The sequence below is a fragment of the Homo sapiens genome, chromosome 18 (genome assembly GCF_000001405.40).
Source record: "Homo sapiens chromosome 18, GRCh38.p14 Primary Assembly".
Taxonomy (NCBI): Eukaryota; Metazoa; Chordata; class Mammalia; order Primates; family Hominidae; genus Homo; species Homo sapiens.
This window is the reverse complement of record NC_000018.10, coordinates 32,672,440-32,692,524: the sequence shown is the minus strand read 5'-3', so window position 1 is coordinate 32,692,524 and position 20,085 is coordinate 32,672,440. Positions and strand designations below refer to the sequence as shown.

The following is a 20,085-nucleotide window of genomic DNA, read 5'->3' as shown; positions in this document are numbered from 1 at the left end:
GAGTCTTGTATTATAATACCTCATGCAATTAACACTAAAACATATAAAGGAGAGCAATCCTATGATAATATATAACATGCTTTAATATCATTGCTGGCAGGGAGAAAGCTTTTAAATCCGTGGGTTCGGATGTTATGTATGTCAGTCCCAGAGATGAAATCTTCTTAAGTTAAACATTAGTTCTTATGAAAATGGTATCTGAGATGTGTGCCCTTGAAGTACAAAATTGCAAATTTCAATACATGCTCATAAAACACAAACATGTACTCATTGAAATAAATATAATTATATCTATTGATGATCTATTGATGACCACAGTTTGAAGTCAGCAAATATATTAGTTACTGGAAATATAATCAAAATACACACATAAGGTTTTCTACTCAGATATAATTATTAACTCCTATCAACTCTCTTCATGTCATTAGTGATAGGAATGCATGATCATATTCTAATAGATATACATAGACTCTGTCAGTGCCCCAGCTTATGGAAACCCAGTTTACATTTGTCACTTCCTGATAACTGGTTCCCAAAACAACTGCTCATAGGGAACTTCTTTTCTTCCCACCTCCTTCTCCTCTACCCATTGGCTGGAAACTGCCACCCTTTGCCCCATATAATCACATCAGCCAAGTGCTAAGCAACAATGGTGTCTGGTGACAGGGCACCAGCACAAAAAAGAAAAGTGGAGGAAAATCACAAAAAAAATGAAAAGGATGAGAAAAAACAGAATGTGTGAAGGATAATCCAAAATTTCATAGCATATGGCTGCCACTCTCAAGCTGCTGGTAGCATCTCAATAGTAGCCACAAGGAAGGAGAATAACCCCATTTCATCTCACCTTCCTCACTCTACCACACTCATTCTTCCTGAGGTTCATTATCCTCTCTGCACCTCCTTTGCCACCTCCAGAACGCCTTCCTTCCTTTCACCTTCCCAGTCCTCCATTCTTGACCTATTTTTGCATCTTCTTTGGGGGGTCTGGGAACAGGATCTCACTCTGTTATCCAGGCTGGAAGGTGCAATCATAGCTTACTGCTGCCTTGAACTCCCGACTTTGAGCAATCCTGTCACCTTAGCCTCCTGAGTAGCTGGGACTACAGGCATGAGCCACCACACCCAGACTCTTTGGCATCATTGACCCTGCCTCTGGAAACCATTTTCTCATCTCACATCCATGTTACACCAGTTTCTGCTTAGCCTCTTCTCTGAATCAAGGCCACTACCATTACAACAAGAAGTGAACATTGCTAGTTTCTACCACCAATGCTCAGCACATGAAGGCACTCTCAGCCCCATTGCCAGGAGGAGGCAGATATCGTCTTCCAAATGGAAATTCTAAACCAAACATCTAGAGAAACATTCCTATATATGGTGGGTAGGTTCTACTTTCCTATGAATATCATTAATCTTCAGCTGAATTTGGGAATTAACCTTGGAACTTGACGTAAGAATGATGAGATTTTTTCTACACAGAAATGATTGCAGATTTCACAAAAACTCACTTATTAACCAGCTCTAGACAACTCTTTCTTGAGGTGGAGCCTCCTTATGTGAAATCCAAGTCTTCTGAGTCTTCCTTTCCCCCTCGTACTCTTATCTCTTCCTGTATGTCCCCAAATAAAACTCAATTTACTACTCAACCTAACCATCCAAACTTTCCCACATGATTCCTATAACTCATGATCTCACATCAGCAAAATATCTATAATCCTTAAATTCTCCTCTGAATGGTTCCTTCAACTTCTTTTCTAATCAAAACCTAGCGCTGTTTTATTTTGTTTTGTTTTGTTTTTGTGGAGTCTCACTCTGTTGCCCAGGCTGGAGTGCAGTGGTGCGATCTTGGCTCACTGCAACCTCCGCCTTCTGGGTTCAAGTGATTCTCCTGCCCCAGCTTCCCAAGTAGCTGGGATTACAGGAGCCCACCGCCATCCCCAGCTAATTTTTGTATTTTTAGTAGAGCTGGGGTTTCACCATGTTGGCCAGGCTGGTCTCGAACTCCTGACTTCAAAGATCTGCCCTCCTCGCCCTCCTAAAGTGCTAGGATTACAGGCATGAGCCACCATGCCCAGCCAAAACCTGGCTGTCTTCTGAGAGTACTGCTTTCCCAGCCACTCTTTCTAACGGGAGCCAGTGTATATCTCCTTCCCCCACATACTTTATATTATTGGAGGCAAGCAGCTTTTCTGTTTTGTCTTTATTGCCATTCTCAATCCCTTAAAACCCCAAGCACTTTAAAGGACATCTGCAGATGATACCGTTTGCTGCCTCTTTATGTGGCAGTAATCCACTGTTTTGCCGGTAATGCCACCTTTTCACTGTCTGTCATCCCCTTGTGTCCTTACTTCCCGTTTTACTGAGCTTAGCTTCTATGGCCCATCCCTATAACCACTCTCCTCATAAACCTGCCGCCCTTTTGTTCTCTCTCTCCTTCCTCTGTATTTGCCTGGCAATACTAGTCCTGGTTAAACCTAACTCTCTTCCCTCTCTTCCCCTGCCCCTGAGTAGCTAAATGTGGATACAGAAAACCACACAGCCAAGCTGGCTACTATTCAGCTCCACTAAATTTCTGTGGTCAATGTGCCTTTCTACCCTCCAAGGTAACTACTTCATTCCTCAGTCTTTTCAAATGCCTCCTTCTTCAAAGGCACCATCCTCACTCTCAGTTGATGGCCTTCCTTTTTAGTTCAATAGAAGCACTCAGAAGATAAACCCTTCATTTTGTTGCCTCCAATCTATTCACTTATTTCCACTGCAACTTATATATTCTGTCTTCCCCCATTATTGTTTCTGCCCCAATCCTAAAGTCTGTTCCTCATTCCTTCTTGCCTGCTCAAGGACTTTCCAGTGTGTCCGAACTTTGAAAACAACCAAACAAACCTTCCTTCAATGCTGCATCCTCCAGCTATAATCTTCTTTCTATTGCAAAAGTCCTAAGAAGCAGTGCCTATCCTCTTACCTCCACTTTCTTACATCTTAGTCTCTCCTGAGTAGTCTGCACTCAGGCTTTCATCCCCTCCGGTTCACTGAAGCAATTCTTGTTGAGGCCACCAGCAACCTTCATGCTGCCAAATCCTATAGTCACTTCTCAGTTGCTCACTTCCCTTCCTTTTGAAACACTATTTGCTTCCAAAATACCACACCTTTCCCCCCTATCTCTGAGCATTCTTTTCCTATGTTGGTTTTGCTTCTTCTATTCCAGGGCTCACTCTGAGGACCCATTGTCTTTCATTTTCATACACTCTCCATACATGATTTCACTCAATCCTATGCTTTTAAATAATAACTCTGGACTAATGACTCCAAAATTTGCACCCATAGCCGCACTTAGCCAGTGGCCTACCAGACACTTCCTGTTTGAGATCCTATAGGTCTCTCAGGTTAATTCCAAAACAGAGCTCATAACTTCTCTTCCCAACTCCTTACCTACTCCTCCTTGGTCTTCCCCACCTCAGCAAATTGCATAATCTTCCATTCAGTTATTCAGGCTAAAAACCTAGCAGCCATCCCTAATGACTCATTTTTTCTCATACCAATATTCAAGCCCTCAGGAAATTTTATTTGGCTATGCCTGCACAACAGATTTAAAACTCAACCATTTCTCACCACCTCCACCTTCATTCAAGCCACCACAGCTCTTACCTTGATGATTGTAGTGGCCTCCTGACAGTTCCCCTCTTCCACAGTGGCCCTCCTATAGTCTACTCTTTATACAGCAGCCAGCATGATAGATTGGACTGTTTTTCACTTGCTCAAAACTCTCCAGTGACTTGCTATTGTCCTTATAACAAAATATAAAATCCTGCATCAGCCCACAAGGCACACTATGTTCTGGCCCTTGACCCCTTTCTGACCTCTGCCCAGTTACCCTAGCATTCTTGCTGTTTTTGAACTCACTGCCAGCCCAAGGACTTAATTCTTTCCTGCCCCCTTGCCTGAGAGGCTCATTCTGCAGATATTTGCATGGCTTGCAGAAGACATCTGTGAGCAGGTGACTATGCTACTGAAACTGGCCTCCCCTTTATCATTCTTGGCTTTATTTTTTAATAGCGTTCATCGCTACTTGATATTATATGTTTGTTTATTCATTTATAAGGATACAGACTACATCTTTCTTGCATACCAATATATTTCCAGAGTCTAGAATACATGAAACACACAGTAGGTGCTAGGTGCTTGATATATATTTGTACAGTTAATAATTGTGTTGGGTGGACATGTCTGTGTGAGCACATGCACACACACCCACACACCCCTATCTGTTCAGTCCTGTAGTGAATTTGGTACCCATCTCTCAATGTTTAGTTACACATATATAAATAAAGGTAGACTTTTAGAGTTAAGGCTTCAAGTCCTCTAGATGATTATCATCTCAGGTGCTACAGAGAATGTAATATATTATTTTGCTTCCATTTCTTGTTTTAATGTTAACATGTATATAAAATAAGATTCATTTTAATACCTTGGAGGCATTACCATGCTTCTCAGCTCAACAGAGAGGATAAGCTGGTTAAGCAGCTCAGAGGACTCACATTTCCCATTTCAGCAAATACACCTGTGTATATGTCACAGCAACTGTGCTCCCCCCAAATACACACACAGAACTTACTTGATATGCATAGGACAAAACTAACTTTCCCAGTCAGGCTCTTTTTGTAGTGGCTGCTATTGTTTGAACAGAGAGAGCAGACTCTCCCACCAATAGAGAGGCCATGCACATGTGAGGGCTGGGGACACGTGGGAAATCTCTATACCTTTCCTTCCATTTGGCTGTGAACCTAAAACTTCTCTAAAAATATTATCTTTTAAAATAATTTTTTCTGAAAAGAAAGAAGATGTAAGAAGTTTTTGTTGTTGTTGTTGTTGTTTTTTAAATGGCTCTAACCAGAGATACCATCATACAAGGTAGTCTTTGGAACTGATAATTTACAGACAATAACTTACTGTGTTTAAAACATTAAAACACCAATAACACCTGAGATATTTTTATCCTAACACTGTAACAAAAGCCAGTTTGGTAAATGTAGTTGCTTTGATTATTGTGGTTGATTTAGTTTTTCCTAACTCATTGCAAAAAGAGAAAAAGGAAAGAGAAGGAAAGAGGAAAAACACTTGAGGTGGCACATTTATTTTTCTATTGACTCATCGCCCGTGCTGTGTTAGGTATTCCCTCTACTTAATTCATCTATTTGTTAAACCTGAGAATAGAGACGTCTGATAAAACACTACTACATGTGCAAATCAACAAAAGAATCTAAGTTTTAAATGTCTCGAATGCATTTTTACAGGAAAACACAGTACAAATTTTGTCAGCCGATATGATCCTCGATTTAATAGCTGGATTCAACTTCCACCCATGCAGGAAAGGTAAGTGTTTATTTCTTGCACCTGAAACGTTTGTGACGGCTTTACAGGAGGCATGGGTGCTAGGTGGTTTTTTGTAAGAAGGAATGCTAAATAGAGTCAATGAAAGACATATGAGGCAAAATAGAAAACTTGGCCTAGCCAGTTTACATGACCTCCCTTGTTAATTCAATAGAGAAAAATAAGTCAATTATTTGTCCTAATGTAGGAAGAAAAAAAATGTGTGGCTTGTCTTTCTTGATTATATTGATTGGTATTTTGCAAATAGAGCTACAATTTCTCTGGCTATACCACTCTTTTTGGTGATAATATATTTAAACCCTAAAATTGAAATATAAAATACTATACTTGCAATGATGTGCATTTTGGTACAGACATTTCAATACTCAATATTAAATTATTTAATATTAAATTCAATATTCAATATTAAAATTCAATATTTAAATGTTAGATATTTAGATAATTAGATATGAAATATTGAACTTTAACATCTCAATAGTAAATTTTGTCTTGTTTACATTTTCCTCCCCAAATGTCTTTGAATCCATACATTCAAGAACAAGTAATTTGTTAGCTTTAAAAAAAATTAGTCTTGCAACGTGTCATCTCATTTTTTTGCATACAGAGTAGTTATCTCGACCAAGTCTCCTGGCTACCAAAGGACAAGATGGCTACTATATTTACATATATTTTGTCTCTCCTAGCTGTTCCTCAGGCATGACACCATGTCTTTATCTGCACATGCAAATTCACAGCCTAGATTTTGAACACTTGGTTCTTTTCAAATAATATCTAGACATCCTCTTGAGCAAATTCTCCAGTGTGATAGACAGTAAGCTGCAAACTATTGCCTCTTCAGCATGCACTTTGGGAGGCCGAGGTGGGTGGATCACGAAGCCAGGAGTTCATGACCAACCTGGCCAAGATGGTGAAACCCCGTCTCTACTAAAAAATACAAAAAAAAAAAAAAAAAAAAAAAATAGCCGGGCACAGTGGCAAGCGCCTGTAATCCCAGCTACCTGGGAGGCTGAGGCAGGAGAATCGCTTAAACTCAGAGGGCAGAGGTTGCAGTGAGCCTAGATTGCGCCACTGCACTCCAGCCTGGGCAACAAAGTAAGACTCCATCTCAAAAAAAAAAAAAAAAAGAAAGAAAAAGGGAATCAGCAGCAGCATTCTTTCTCTTTTCTATTTCTTACATGACTTCTCACCTGAATATCTCTCTTTTTATAACATTTAAGTAGATTACCCTGAGATTAAATTGGATCCTTAATCCTAAATTCCAAGCTAAAAGAAAATTTTCATACAATACCATTTATTCAAAAATGTACTTATTGCAGCAAGACAGCATGAATCTATGCTCTAATGAAACTCAATATCTAACTTTCTACTCTATATACTGGTAAATATATTAAAACTCCCTTAGAAAACTAAAGCTACACACTGAAAATGATGAGGCATGATACATTAAGGACCACAGACAGTTTTAGGAATGTCTAGTTCAAAGGTACCTGAGGAAATAATTCTAAGTCAATTAATAGCTTGACAAACTTAATGAATCCGAAGCTTCCTGGTATCTTTCTCCAGTGCACCCTGTTTCTCTCTTTTGGAGGTTACTTCCTGGTTGCTGTTATTACAGCTGCATCACTTTGCCCTTTAATCAAAACTATTCCAAAAAGTTTTACTTAAAAAACAACTATCAATACATGTTTGAAATGTCATCATCTCATCACCATGGTCCCCTTTGCTGGGGGCTGTACACCGTGATAATTAACCTTCATGCCTTTGGCTTGGGAGGCATAACTCACGTCGTGGTCAATTATCCCACTGTAGAGCCCCTAAGGATGGGAAGTATTGCTGCAAAACCTAATTAGTAATTTTTTTGAAAATGTGTATTGTTTACTTGATAGTCTGTAATGACTTCCTCTGAGGCACTATGGCCTATCATGGCAGGGTCCTACTTAGACAATTTTTAGCAGCTCATTGACCTGATAAAAAGACCTGCCATGGTCTGTCGGCGCCCGGCAGCCACCGTTGACAGGATGGACTGTTTAACGTTTCTTTCTAAGTCATTATGGTATATCATGTCAGGTCCCTGGTAAAAGAAGTTTTTTTTTTAGATTTAGAACAATCAACTCGATAGACCAAATAAAGAGCTCCTTACAGCGCTGAGTGGGAAAAGGCAGATCTCACAAATGCCCCGTCAATCTTGCAGCTCCATCTCTCCTATGGGCTGGTTGACCCAGGCAACAATCCATAACTTAAAATGAAATTTTTCTGTCATTGCCCAGTTTCCATTCAAAATAGCAAGTACAATCAGTTACCAGTGTAGATTAATTGGTGGTTTAAAAAAGGAGGAAAAAGAATCTAGAAATATATGAGACACTCTTCAGATCAGAAAAGTTGCTTAAAACATTTAGTTAATTTTACATTGTGTAGATCATGAATGAAACCGGAAGTTCCCCGCCTACCCTCTTCCACTATGCTGCTACCAAACTGCTGAAAAATTATTATGCTGAGAAATCACCAAACCAATTGAGAATAATGAAAACACATTGTAAGCCACCTCTGGGGTAACCTACCCTTACAGAGCTATACTTGCTATTTTGAATGGAAGCTTGGTAATGACAGAAAAATTTCATTTTAAGTTATAGACTGTTGCCTGGGTCAACCAGCCCATAGGAGAGATGGAGCTGCAAGATTGACGGGGCATTTGTAAGATTTGCCTTTTCCCACTCAGTGCTGACAGATTGAGTCCCAGGATAGCCTACCTAGGCAACCCTTCCAAAAGAATAGAGAAAAAGTGCAGAACACCTTCCCAGTTTAGCAGGGAAATGGGCACATGGCCTTCAGACTCACTCAACCATGAGTCAGCTCATGAATTGCATGCCTGCTGGCTATGAATTTACTGACAGAAATGAACAGATGAAAATATAAATTTAAATGTAGTGCCAATGAATTGTTTTGCTCTCAGATTTAGAATTTAATTCTTCAGTAAAGAGAGGAAAAATTAAAAACTTGGAACAGTAGAAATGCTTTGGTAACTTAATTTTTTTTCAGTAAAAGTTGATGTTTGAAGTGTTATTCTTATGGAGATCTTACTCCCTAGCTAATCTAAAAAAATAGAAAAAGAAAAAGCAGTTTGGGAAGCGTTAAGAACAAAGCCTCTATTTCACAGAGTAAATAAAAGACAAGAACTTAATATGTCAAAAATGCATCAAATTTTAAATATTTTGTTTTTCTAGTAATATTTTGTGTTACAAGAAACAATGGGAGACAATATTCTTTCTAACATATCCATTGTTTTTAATCCAACGACAAAAGTCAAAAATTCAAGCAGGGTAAGGATATAGTAATCCAATCTCATGCTTTAGGATATAAACTGACAACTCCAAGGGCCAGAAAGAACTTGTAAAGATCTGCAAAATAAGCAGAGTGTAAAGTATATTTGTACGCATTATTATTAATCTTTTTAAAACTTATCTCACAAATACTGAATATTGCTTCTGGCAGTGGGGGCAGGGGAGGCTGAAGGAGGGAGAGATGAACAATTTGAAACAGAAACAGTGTAATCCCAATAAGAAATCTTTAATAATCTTGAACTTACTTTCCCCCCAAAATAAAATAGCCTGAACCTTATATGTTCTTCATGTGGCGAAGAGGGGCAGGGAGCATTGTCAAGAGAGACCTGGTATGGGAAGATTTTAGCCTACAGTGAATGTTCACAGTTGCTGGCAGACCATTAACAATCAGGTTTCTAAAATGCATTTCAGGAACTCTCACTTTGGTCATGCAAGGGAATAAGTCAAAGACTCAGAATCTTTACTATTGGAATTTCTACCTAAAAATGCACTTGTCATCAGGAAGTGAAATCTGCTGATTTTTTCCCATTTAGATCCTAACAGTGACACTGTGTGGATAAAGCTAGGAGTACACACGAAGTGTCGCATGAAGAACGCCTTGGCTAGAAAAGAGAGCAGGTTCTGACAGGCTGACCAGGTGTCACGGTGAGGAAGGAACCAGATCATAAAAAGTGAAAAAAAACTGAATTTTAGACAAGAAAATGAGTTCACCAAAGGGAGATCTTCCTCTTATTCTTCAAAATCTATACTCAGTTAAATAGAAGGTTTTCATACTTGTTGTGACTAAGTGGCATCTTTTCTTCTAGACTAATGCTGCACAGAACTCACCATTACCAGCTTATAACCCACATAGTCCCAATTCTTTAAAGATGGCCCATTAGTGAAATAAGAAAATGCATTGTTTCAGAGGCCCCTAGAATCACATGGAAGAAGTGTACTGACCTACCTTAGTGTCAGTGTTGGAAAAAAAATATGTTTTACTTTAGGATGGATTTTTGTAGATATGTGTCAGTCTTTTCAATGAAACACTTTAACTTGAAAAGGTAAATGTACTAGTAGAATAACTTTGACCTATCATATTCAATGAGAAAGTAACTGAAGCCTGGTTGAGGAAATAGAAGGAATCAGTTTATCTGCAGGCACTTAATTTTGCAACTGCTTTGAAATTTTATTTTATATTTAGATGAGTTTTTAGTCCCTCATACCAGAAAAATCTCAATTTTTTAAAGATCAGAAATCCCTTTGATGATCACATTAAAAAGCTTCCTCCAAAAAATGCACATGTGCAAAAACATCTATCTACAGCATTTTATTATAATTTCAGAGGCTCACGGACCCCACAGAAGACATGGACCTGGTTAAGTCTTTACTTTATGAAATCTGACTCGTCTTCTCTTTATTTTATTCCTACTTTTCTCCCTGCCACTGTTTTCATTATTGTTGTTCTTCATTATCTTTCTGAATTTTCCAAGGCACATATTTCCTTCAAATATATCAAGAAAATCTAGAAAAAGCAAACATAACTAAAATATTGCTCTAAAATTATCAATGATATCTATTGGGATAATTTCAGGACTATCAAAAGTTGAATACATTAACATCCATAACAAATATCATGCCTATATGGTAACAAATTATCTAAACAAATATTATTTAGTTGCCACTTAAACATTATTAGGAAATGTTTAAATGCAAACATCTTCATGGTCAATTTTTAAAAACCTTTTATCCAGATAATATTAATTGACAGTTCCTGAACATGAACAAAATGCTGGACACTATGACAAGCACTTATATGTATTTGCCAATAGCCCTGTGAGAAAGAGACCATTATCATCCCCATGTTCCAGATGAGCAATCTGAGGCTGAGAGAGGTTGGGTGACATGTCAAAGGCCACACACCTAGTACATCATCTAGCCAGGCAGTCTTACTCAAGAAGCCAAATCGTTAATCACCGTGCTATATACTACCTCCTAAGTGTTTTGGTACTTCATAAACACAACCTGGAAAATCTCCAAGCAACATACATTTACTTGATAAAAACCTGTAGCACTCCTTGTCTTGCAATCGACATTGAACAAGAATCTCGGCATCTATTTTAATAGAGATCATTAATTCATTAAATATAAACTATATTATCTGAGGGGCATGGCACTTAACAATTACACTTATTCAATATTGGACCACATGTTTTCCTTGTGAAGTATATTATTCCAGTAGTATCAGTGAAAAAAAGAAGCAAAGAGTCAAAGGCTTGCTTCAAGTTTCAAACTAATCATCCTAACTCCCAATTTTTGACTGCTGTTTGAATGTTATTTTCCCTCAGCTCTCATATTTTATTACTTGCCAAGTTTTACATCTTCTTCCTTTAAAATATCATTTGCATCACCCCTTTCTATTTCTTCTACTAAAACTCTAATTCAGGTCCTCAGTGTCTTCAAATCTCACTCCTAAATTATGGCATATTTTAGGATTGGTCTCTCTGTCTACAATCTTTCCAACACAGCTTGTATCTTTTGCTTTGATGGCATAATGGGATAATATAGTCAAAAGCCTCTCTTAAAAAGGGATTTAAAATATCTTATAGCCTTTTAAGAATCAACACAAAAGGCTACTTAGATGAAATTCCTGTAACTGGTTATATAAGTGCAAAATTTGAACATTATATGAAGTTCACAAAAGTTATTCTATTTGCAGTAGTAGTACTAAGGGTAAAAAAAGTGATAATTGAAGAAAATTTTTGATGATGTAGTTCTCTTATAAATTGGGAACAATGACCCTTGAAGGACCATAAAGAAAGTGAATGTCAAGATAATTTATTATTGTTACATTATCTACCTCATTTTTCACTTTGCCTTACAGAGCTACGATATCCTTACAAGGTACCGAATATCCCAAATATTAATGAACACTTAACAGTGTATAAAACAAGATAACAAGGGCTGAAACAAAGAGTTGGTGAATTTCTCCTCTACTATTACTTTAATATCAAGAATATTAACCAGGAAGGGCAATACATATGATTACTGTAGAAGGTCTCAGAATTATAAGGTATACGTGTAATTTTTAAAGATTTGCAACCCTTTCTGAAGCAGAATGCACCCCTTTCCCTGACTAGCTGTGTGGTGCTTATCTTATTTCGAAAGGTAACATTTCACAGCTCCTCTTGTGATTTACTGTGGGTTCTTTTCATTGTAGAAGAGCCAGTTTCTATGCATGTCGGTTGGACAAGCATTTATACGTAATTGGTGGAAGGAATGAAACTGGCTACTTGTCCAGCGTGGAGTGCTATAACCTAGAAACGAATGAATGGCGCTATGTGTCCTCTTTGCCACAGCCTCTGGCGGCTCATGCGGGAGCAGTGCACAATGGGAAAATATACATTTCAGGCAAGTAATTCCTCCACTTTCTGTTACAAAGTTCAGTTCCAAAGCACTCTCTTGACTTGTATGTCTATGTTTATTTCACAGGGGGTGTACACAATGGAGAATATGTCCCATGGCTATATTGCTATGACCCAGTAATGGATGTCTGGGCTCGAAAACAAGATATGAACACAAAACGTGCAATTCACACTTTGGCTGTAATGAATGATCGCTTGTATGCAATTGGAGGAAATCATTTGAAAGGTCTTTTTTTTGTTGTTTTGTTTTTTAGTCACAATAACATTTGCACCTCATATTTCTCGCTAAGGGGGTTTCTCCTTAGATAATCATAGTTAACCAAGTAAAAAACATGTTGACCTAATAAAATCTACTCTGTGTAAATTGGCAGTACCCTTGAGCAAGCATTTATTTTGGCTTTGCTGCAGATAGGATTATTTTTAAGTTACCATACACATAAAAGAAAAGGATAATGATGTCTACAGAAAATAAGAAACAGGAGCATTAATAACTGAAGAACACAAACAATTTGTCGTAACAATGAATTCACTGAAATAAATTATTTCTTATCACCAAAGTTGTAGTAATGAATTTTTTCCAGAAAATTGTTTTCTGCTGTAATCATAAGGAACTTTAGTCATAAGTGCACAAAGCTAATATGTGATTTTTTTAAAGGTAATATTTACCAGATATTTGTGTCTAAATTTAGAATTTTTTTAAGAATTCAATAGCAAGCCACTTATGATTATCAAATTCTGTTGCTTTTTTTCAATAAAAAACTTAAAGCATAGCATTTTTAGAGACATGTTTTGGCAGCTTTCCTTCCCTAGATATGTATACGACTGCAACTTTTTGTAGTGTATGTGCACATATATAACATTATGTGCATGCATGTAACACTGAATGTGATACCAGAGAGACCTATGATATCGAGAACATTATTGAACTGCTTTGGGCCTCAGTTTCCTCATCTGAAGATGAAGAAACTGCTCTATGATCTCTAAAATCTCCTTCAGCTCTCCTAGTCTATGATCGCTGAAATTGAGCTAAATGGGAAACAGGCTATCTAAGTATGGTAGATAACGCACATGTGTGCATTTATTTTTTAATAGTATATACATCTTTTTAAATGGTTTAGATCTAGATGTTTTTTCTATTTTCCTAATACATATTTACCTGTAGATGAAATAAAGCCTGAACAGGTGTAATTTTTATGTAGATAGTTCCAAGTTCATGTTCATTCGTCAAGTTCATGTTCAGAAATGCCAGTAGCCTAGTGCATGTCTGCTGCTCAGCTTAAGTGCTCTCCCCAATGAGAACGGATTTTCTTTACTACTGTGATGCTTACCTTTTTATTCTTTATCTCTTTCAACGGTGCTCTTTCATTTCAAGCCACACACCATTCCTTTACGTCGACATGTTTTGTATTAACTTTGTATCCTTCTATGTTAAAATGTGATTTCTTTGCATTTCTTTTGCACAAGATATTGTCTAAATGCTCTAGGATCTTCTAACATTTAAGGTTAGGTTTGGACAGAAAGACTCAGGTAATGACAATCTAAATGAGAAATAGTGTGCACACATCAAAACTGGGTTAGCTCAAGGAGGCATCATGGTGAGGAGAGGATATAGACATTGTATCTAAGCCTAGGTTTGATTCTAGTTATGCACTTTCTAGTTGTGTGGTCTCACTCAAGACACTTAACCTCATGTCTGTAAAGGAAGGATAATTATCCTTGCCTTGATGGTTTCTGTGAGGATTACAGTTCCCATGTATAACATTGTCACAGAGAAGGCACATATATCTTCAAATGATGCCTCCAAGGTCAGAACCTGGAATTTGCCCAAGTGCTCATTCTAAGTGTATATGCTTCAAAAATTATAATCAATAATATTAATGGTAAAGGAAAGGAATATACTCTGGTGTTGCAGTGAGTACATTGTTCTGTTGTTCCACCATCTATGGGATTTATTTTCTGTAGGAAGTTAGTAACCGAAATAACCTGTCTACCTCTTCAAGAACAAAAATTTCTCCACCTTTTTATTCATCTTCTCAATTATTTTAAAGAATCCAGTATGTTGGTTACTTTAGAATACACACTGAGATTGTCAGCTAGCAAATATCCATAGCCTGCATTTAACTACGGGAAAAATAGATAAAAACATTAAGGGTTTGACCTGCTTGGTGAGCACGAAGCTCCCACTAGGTGTTTCTCACCCTCTAAATTAAAGGCAGGGCTCCAGTAGAGACCAGGAACTTAAGTTGTTCTCAGTGACCTAGGTAGTGCCCCAGACACCAAGAACCCTATCAGAAGCTGTAGGAGAAGCTCTTCAGTGAAAGTTACTCAGCCTTCTACTCTAAACCTTGATTCTTGGTAAATACTAGAAACGATTTACATCATCAGAGTTGTTTATAAACATAGTCAAATTGTGGAAAAGGTAAAAGATGCTGAACAACATATTTTTAATCTATTAAAACATTCTGAGAGAGTTAAATATTCATTTGAGAAAAAGCAATACAATTTAGTCTGCAAGAGTCTGAGTTCTGAAGCCTCTCCTGGATTCAAATCTCAACCTATCTACTTACTGACTTGTGACTTACTCAAGTAATTGACTTTCTCTGTCTCTCAGTTCCCTTATCTATAAAATGAAAGTGAGGACAGGGACTATCTCATAGAGTGATGGAAGGGATTGAATGAGTTCATTTAAATAAAGCCCTTAGAAAAGAAAACTAGCATATTGTAAGTGCCTTGTACAATGCTTGCTTAAACTATTATTTTAAACATTTTTAAATAAGGTTTTAATAAACCATTTTAATAAGATCTATCCACATATAATCAACCTTTGCTAATGACATCTGCTCAGGCATTCTTGCTTTGAAGTAATCTAAAACAACTAGAGTTTCTTTGGGGTTTTCTAGGTCTTTCTGACATTTCTCCCAATCTCAGTGAATTTATGCATTTGTGTCTTCAAAAACATAATTATCTATTTTGGCTTGAGACTTGTTTTTAAAAGAAGCCCTAGCCTTAAATTGGGACCCTGAGCATTTATCATTTTGTTGTTCCACTTTGTTCTGTCACTTAGGTTTCTCCCACCTTGATGTAATGCTTGTGGAATGCTATGACCCAAAAGGTGACCAGTGGAATATACTCCAAACTCCCATTTTGGAGGGTCGAAGTGGCCCTGGCTGTGCAGTGCTTGATGACAGCATTTACCTTGTGGGAGGCTACAGCTGGAGTATGGTATGTGTCCACATTTACTGCATCCTCCTTTATTTCGTTTGTGCTTACGTTTTCTGTATCCTTCCAAATGTGTTATCCTCCACACATGTACCTTTTAAGAGTATCATACTTACATGCAAGCAGTCAGTTGCTTTAGATAGTAAAATAGGATCAGCCTGGTGGCTGTTGAACTGGCTTGCTAGCTGATCAACAGCATCACAAGGTGCAGTAGGTCTCCCTTCTCTCCTGTCTCTATGACCTTGTGATTCTGGCTTCCCAACTGAAAGTCAAACTGAGGTGATTTTACAAATGTTCTGCAGTTCAGTAAGAGAGTCTGAAAGGTTTCTGACCGGTAAGGCATGAAAAATGGAAATTCATTCTCCAATATTCATGAAATCTATTTAGGATGTGTGATTTGCCATTGATTTTTCCCCTTATTTTCCCTCTTTATCGTGAAATTTTCTAAACATACACAAAAATCGAGATTAGAATGGGACTTCATTAACCCATCATTCAGCTTCAACATCCATCAACATTTTGCCACACTTCATCTATCCCCACTTTTAAAATCTTTGGCTCAGGCAATATGAAGTAGATCCCAGATGTCATATCATTTCACCCTAAATGCTTCAGTATTTACCTTTTAAAAATCATTAACTTACGTAAATACACTCACACTCCAAAAAATTAACAATAATTCCTTTATATCCATTTTTATATTCAAATATTTGCCATTGACTTTTAAAAAAGATGTATTTTTCAAATTGACATATCCAAATCAGGACCCAACAAGTCTTTCTTATATTTCATCATTATGTCTCATATATCTCTTGCAATCTAGAACATTACCCTGACTCTTTTTGTTTCATGCCATTGACTCCTTGACAAAAGAGGTTCAGTTATACAGAATACCCTACATTCTGAAATTGGCTAATGACTTCCTTGTGGAGTCATTTGAAATAGTCCTCCATCTGCATATTTTCTGGAGACTGGAAGTTAGAGATAAGGGCATAATTAAATTCAGCTTCTTTCTTTTTCCTTTATTTATTTCTTTCGTTAACTTCTTTTTTCTTTCTTAGCAAAAACACCTGCGAAGGTGGCTTTGTAGTTCAAATTACAGTACATCAGGAGACACATTGGGTCTAGCAGATTACATATTCACTTTTAAAATGATGAACATTTTTATATTTTCCTGATTACCTGTGTTAGTTTTGTAAGATTAATTTGGTGGTTTTAATAATATTATTTGGTTTTATTTCTTTTGCCTCTAACAAGATTGTGACATAAAGTTTTGGGGAGCTTTAAAACATTATTAGTTATATAGGCAAATATGTATTGACATATATAACTAGATATTCATATGTGCACTTGTTTGCTTGTACAAATTGTTAGCTGCAAGAATGTATTTGTTTGGAAGCAGACATTGGGGCATTTTTAGAAAAATAATTATTAGGTTGGTTGGGTCTTTCGTTTTTTTCCTATGATAAACACAAAGCTGCCTTGGTTTGGGGAGGAAAAGGTTACACAAGCACTAGCCTCTAAAGTTGACAAAGAAAACAAGATTAAGGACATTTTATTTCTCATGTGGCCTCTTGAAAATAAATAAATCAATATATGAGAAAGTTGACAAACTTTCATTTCCAGTTTACTTTGAACTGGTTTTCAATCCTAGCTCTGATTCTTCACAGTAGCAAAATTAAAATGGAGAAGTGAGACAACAATCTGAAATATAATTGTCTTAACTATTTGAATGTTTAAGGTAAATTTGTTCTCTTTTCTTTTTTAACTTAAACCAGCTGGATAACTTCTATTTTTGGTATATTATTTTTATGTATGTATTTCTTTCTTTAAGCCAAGATCTTACTCTGTTGTCTAGGCTGGAGTACAGTGGCATGATCAGAGCTCATTGTAACCACGATCCTCCTGTCCTAGCCTCCCAAGCAGCTGGGACTACAGATGTGCACTATCATGCCCAATTTGTTTTTATCTTTTTTAGTGTGTGTGTAAAGATGAGGTCTTGCTATGTTGCCCAGGCTGGTCTCAAACCCCTGGGCTCAAGTGATCCTCTCGCCCTAGCTGCCAAAGCTCTGTGATTACAGGTATGAGCCACTGGGCCCAGCCAATTTAGGATTTGTTGAGCATCTAGGATCCTCTAGGTATTTATTTAACTTTTATTATTAGTCACACACACAAAAAAATTTTTTTTGAAATTTTGTCAATCTTAGCTTTTTCTTTGGAATAGAACAGTTTAAAATCCATTGCTTTCATTTGGAATTATTTAGCAAGAATGGAGAACAGATATTTTCTTTTCAATATATTAATAAATATGATCAGTAACATTGCCATTGCACTTCTCTAGCTTCCTTCTCTAAATGCTCCCTCCTCTGTCATTACAGGGGGCCTACAAGTCATCTACAATATGCTATTGTCCAGAGAAAGGAACCTGGACAGAACTCGAAGGAGATGTAGCAGAACCGTTGGCAGGCCCTGCCTGTGTGACAGTTATTCTGCCCTCTTGTGTACCATACAACAAATAACACCAGGAAACTCTGGAATGAACAGTATCACATTCTAGGAAGCAATGGCAGGTGACATCACTATTATAATAGGAACAATGCATTCTAATGGTACAACTGCCAAAACCCACCCTTGGTTTCTGATGATTTATAAGTAACTACAAAAGAAAGAGACCTGTTCTTGAACAGATACTATGTCTATAACTCAGATCGCACCAAACTTCCTGTGGTGACAGACTCTTCCATTTCAGACTGGTTTTAACTTATCCCAGCTTTACAAAAACTCTTCATGTGAATCTTAACTTGCAAAAGGAGAAAGATAAAATACAGAAGACTGGCCCCAGAGAGACCTCAGATCAGTATTGTGCATTGTAGTCTACCTGCATGTGATCTATGTTGACATTTCGGGGATATTGTGTTCAAGAATGATTCCAAATTTGAGCCACCAAAATACACTGCATTACAGAAATTGCCACTTGATTCTGTACTCTTAACCTTTGGCTACTTCACAGACTCCATTGGCAACACTGTTATTGAAAATCATGTAAGATTAAAGAGAGGCATTTTCGTTTCTATACAACTTCATTTCATACACCTTCTGCCCTTACAGCACCTCATGGGATCAGAAAAGAGAAAGATGTTGGCTCTTGTAATAAATGCTTTCTACCCTATAGGTTCTAGGCTAGACAGAGTCGTCATTTCTGTGTCCTCAATTTTATCTGAAAGATTAAAACAAAATATATTATGTCACTATTCAGTTCATGGAGGTTTGTGCTTTTTCATATTTTGTGATATATAAGTAGTGAACACACATGTTATTTACTTCAAAAGACAGGATTGACAAATTCAGTCAATACTATTTTAGAGATTCTGTTAGATGATATGTCTGACCCAAATTTAATCCATAATAAAAAAAAATGGGAGATTGTTTTCAGGAATTCAGGGATGAAAAGAAAGAATAATTTCCATTAAGTAGAATTCCAGTTGTCTTTCTGTTTCTAAAACACAGAACTTACAAGAGCCACAGGAGCCAATTATAGCACCTGACAGAATACTTCTCCTCTTCCTCACCTTCGGGTGCCTCTAGACACTTGACTTACGATCGTTATTCCCCCAATTCATCATATTTTGTTTGTTATCACCAGAGATGCCTGAACTCAGTTAAGCGAGCAATTGCTAGTTGTCTTGAGGAGCATGAGGAATTCAGGAGCAGAAGGTCAGGATAGCATGAGATAGTCTCAATGTGGCCAACCAAAAGGACAAAACTGACAGGAATGCACATTCGATTTTCAAGCCCTCCAGAGCTTGAACAACAACTTTAGGAGTAAATAAAAGCCTAAAATATATTTTAACCATCCAGAGATGGTGTTGAATCCTTCAACAAATGTGTCATTCAAAACAGTAATTAGGGAAATCCCACAGATGAAAAATGCCTTAGTGATAAGCTTTCATGGCAGAGCACGTCAAGATAAATGGGTATACTGGAATCCGATGCCGTTTCTACAGTAAAGTGCAATCTTCGTTGTTTTTGTATTTATTTGTATGTTCAGATCCAAAGGATCCGTTGTAAAAATATATATATATAAATATATGTATATCCAGTGCAATCAACTGTCATTTCTTTTTCCTTAAAACATATGAGTATATAGAAAGAAAAGTTACAGTACTCTGTGGGAAAATCTCAGCTGACATCATGAATAGAATGAGGTCTGCTTCAGAACCTTTTGTTGTCAACTGTCACTGTTTCTTCCAAAAGTCACAATTTGTACAAGAACCTTTGCTTTCCTTAGACTTGTTCTGCATTTTATTTTTTATTTCTCACCAAAATAAAAGCATTTATGAGAATTATAAGTAAAGCTTTCTGTATTTCAGAGAGACATAAGTTACTAGAAAGTGAAAAGTGAATAAATAAGTCACAGAGAATGTAAATTTTGTACAGTATTAGAATGTGTAAATGAAGCTTGCTTGGAAGGGGAAAACTTTAAATAAAAACTTTATGTACTAATTCAACTGTCTCTCATATCCTACTTACATATGTATAAATCTCTACATTAAACCGTTTGAAGGTTTGTGATATGTAAATGCCTAAATATTTTTGTTCTGAAGCTGTGATTTACAAGTGTTATTTGGCTTTCTCACAATATGTAAATGTATACAGTATGGACAGTGCTAAAATTATGGAATACTTCTGGAAAATGCTGTGAGTTAAAAATCATATGAGTGGAATCTGATGTTTTC

General features: G+C 37.0%; 1 protein-coding gene and 1 long non-coding RNA gene across 2 annotated transcripts in view; one reads left to right on the top strand and one right to left on the bottom strand.

The window, feature by feature from the left end:
- Positions 1–7,596, bottom strand: part of LOC112268208 (uncharacterized) — a 53,523-nt gene extending 45,927 nt beyond the window's left edge. The window contains exons 1-2 of the long non-coding RNA XR_002958196.2: positions 7,529–7,596; positions 3,646–3,784 (exon numbers count right to left, since the gene is read on the bottom strand). This is a non-coding gene — a long non-coding RNA (uncharacterized LOC112268208). The remainder of the gene's footprint in view (positions 1–3,645; positions 3,785–7,528) is intronic.
- Positions 1–19,852, top strand: part of KLHL14 (kelch like family member 14) — a 100,351-nt gene extending 80,499 nt beyond the window's left edge. The window contains exons 5-9 of the mRNA NM_020805.3: positions 5,292–5,370; positions 11,926–12,116; positions 12,198–12,356; positions 15,195–15,352; positions 17,728–19,852. Of these exons, the coding sequence (NP_065856.1) occupies positions 5,292–5,370; positions 11,926–12,116; positions 12,198–12,356; positions 15,195–15,352; positions 17,728–17,868 (728 nt within the window). The 3' untranslated portion in view covers positions 17,869–19,852. The remainder of the gene's footprint in view (positions 1–5,291; positions 5,371–11,925; positions 12,117–12,197; positions 12,357–15,194; positions 15,353–17,727) is intronic.
- Positions 19,853–20,085: the final 233 nt, after the last annotated feature.